The sequence below is a fragment of the Homo sapiens genome, chromosome 20 (genome assembly GCF_000001405.40).
Source record: "Homo sapiens chromosome 20, GRCh38.p14 Primary Assembly".
In the NCBI taxonomy this organism is placed as follows: domain Eukaryota; kingdom Metazoa; phylum Chordata; class Mammalia; order Primates; family Hominidae; genus Homo; species Homo sapiens.
Window position 1 is genome coordinate 3,092,056 of NC_000020.11, and position 2,452 is coordinate 3,094,507.

The 2,452-nt window shown below is 59.2% G+C and overlaps 1 pseudogene, besides 2 other annotated features; it reads left to right on the forward strand.

Annotated features, from left to right (window-relative positions):
* Positions 527 to 1,027: an enhancer, noted in NCBI's record as "H3K27ac hESC enhancer chr20:3073228-3073728 (GRCh37/hg19 assembly coordinates)". NCBI's record gives its function as "activates a minimal SCP1, AML or CMV promoter by ChIP-STARR-seq in primed H9 embryonic stem cells {active_cell/tissue: H9 hESC(primed)}" and the evidence as "EXISTENCE:reporter gene assay evidence [ECO:0000049][PMID:30033119]".
* Positions 1,028 to 1,528: an enhancer, noted in NCBI's record as "H3K27ac hESC enhancer chr20:3073729-3074229 (GRCh37/hg19 assembly coordinates)". NCBI's record gives its function as "activates a minimal SCP1, AML or CMV promoter by ChIP-STARR-seq in primed H9 embryonic stem cells {active_cell/tissue: H9 hESC(primed)}" and the evidence as "EXISTENCE:reporter gene assay evidence [ECO:0000049][PMID:30033119]".
* Positions 2,116 to 2,452, forward strand: RN7SL555P (RNA, 7SL, cytoplasmic 555, pseudogene; annotated as a pseudogene).

The window sequence follows — 2,452 nt, forward strand, 5'->3', positions numbered from 1 at the left end:
GGTGGCTCATGCCTGTAATCCCAACACTTTGGGAGGCCGAGGCGGGCAGATCACGAGGTCAGGAGTTCAAGACCATCCTGGCCAACATGGTGAAACCCCGTCTCTACCAAAAATACAAAAAAAAATGAGCTGGGCATGGTGGTGCGCGCCTGCAGTCTTAGCTGCTTGGGAGGCTGAGGCAGGAGAATCACTTGAACCCAGGAGGCGGAGGTTGCAGTAAGCCAAGATCGCGCCACTGCACTCCAGCCTGGGCGACAGAGTGAGACTCCGTCTCAAAAAAAAATCAGCTGACGAGGGCCGGGGAGCGGCGGGGAGGGGATGCGGGAAGCCAGGTCTGAATATTTATCGTATCTCTAGAGGGGGGTTACATTAAACTTTTAAAAGAAATCAGAAATGAAAAGACAATAAAAATTCTTTAACTTGCAAAAATAACCTAAGTAAAAGGCAAAATAAACGAAGAAAAATATTTTTGACAAACTCGTTTCTATATGGAAAACCTGTACGGCAGCAAGACCTGTAGACTCGCATCTAGAGACGCTCAACCCTAGCTCCGTGTTCCAAGTGACGTGGCCTGTCGCACCCGCCGGGGACAATGACTGCGGCCCTGGGGTCCCACAGACGTTCCCTTTGCTAGACTTAAGGAAGAGCTAGGCCTGTCCGCGCTCCCAGCCCCCACGCAGCCAGACACCCGCGGGTGCTGAGATGAAGAGTGAAGTCACCAGGAGAGACAGGAAACAGCGCGGGCCTCGGGGACCCGAGGGCGCGGAAGCTCGGGGGCCGGGGTCGAGCACAGATTGGGAGGCGCAGCGCTGGGCGCACGTCCCCGTCGGCCCGGCGGCCCCTAATGAGGCGCGCTGTGCGCAGACTGCTAAGAGCAGCATGAGCACGGCTCCGGCGGCCCCCAGGGCCCCGCGGGTCGGCGCCACCCCGGAGCGCGGTGCCCGGAATCACTTAGCGCCATCAGCCGGGCGGCTGGGAGGGGGAAGCGGCCGATCCGGGCGGCTGGGAGGGGGAAGCGGCCGATCCAGGCGGCAGCGGAGGGGGCTGCAGCGGAGGCGGCCCCGGCTTGCACGCTCGCCCTTCCGCCTGCCCGGCAGGGCCCCGTCTGAGCCCCAGGCCCCAGGCCCAGCGGCGCCGCTCGCCGGTGAAGGAAACCAGCGCAGAGAGGCCGCGCTGCCAGGCGCGTGGTGGTCCGGGGGTCCACGTGTGAGCCTCGCCCTAGGCTGCCAATTGAGAGTTCCACCTCCGCCCAGAGAGACCCCACCTCACCCCTCCAACCTGGGGCGCGCGGGCCGGCGGAGGGGTCCTGGGGCGAGTGGGCAGGATAGGCCGCCGCGCGGGGTGGGCTTCTACGGGGTGTACTCGTTGCCTGTGGCTGGGGACTGAAATTCCCCGGAAAAGGAGACGGGGAGGACACACCTGGAGGGATAAACAGCTTGTGCAGGGATGTGAAAGAGAGAACCCAGCTGTGTGTGCGTGTGCGCGCGTGTGTGTGGTAGGGACGTCATACAGGACGCGTGGCCTACGAACGTGCTAAACCACTGGCAATAAAAACACAGAGTGTGGGGCCGGGAGCGGTGGCTCACGCCTGTGATCCCAGCACTTTGGGAGGCCAAGGCGGGTGGATCACCTGAGATCAGGAGTTCAAGACCAGCCTGGCCAACATGGTGAAACCCCATCTCTACTAAAAATACAAAAATTAGCCGGCCGTTGTGGCAGGCGCCTGTAATCCCAGCTAGTCGGGAGGTTGAGGCAGGAGAATCGCTTGAGCCAGGGAGGCGGCTGTTGCAGTGAGCCGAGATTGCGCCACTGCACTCCAGCCTGGGCAACAAGAGTGAAACTCTGTCTCAAAAAAAAAAAAAAAAAAAAAAGGAGTGTGTGCCAGCATCACTGTTTTAAGCCTTTTACGTATATTTTCCTCCTTGAATCACATAAACCCTGTGAAGGAGGAAGTATTTTTATCTCTATTTGCAGACAGGAAACTGAGGGGCAGAGAGGTTGAATAACTTGCCCAAGTTATTCAACGAACAAGTGATAAACAGCAGACCTGGGATTCAAACTCAGGCTCCAGGGTCTGTGCCCTTCACCACGCTACTGCCACAAAACCCTAGCAGAGCCGGGTGCTGGGGCACGCGCCTGGAGTCCCAGCTACTCCTGAGGCTGAGGCAGGAGGATGCTTGAGCCCAGGAGGTACAGGCTGCAGTGAGCCATGATCACGCCACTGCACTCCTGCCTGGGCTGCCGTGGGCTATGCCTAGCTGGCGTCTGCACTAAGTTCAGCATCAGCATGGTGACCTCCCGGGTGCAAGGGGACCACCAGGTTGCCTAAGGAGGGGTGAACCGACTCAGATCAGAAATGGAGCAGGTGAAAACCCTGTGCTAATCAGTAGTGGGATCCTGCCTGTGAATAGCCACTGCACTCCAGGCTGGGTGACATGGTCAGAACCCATCT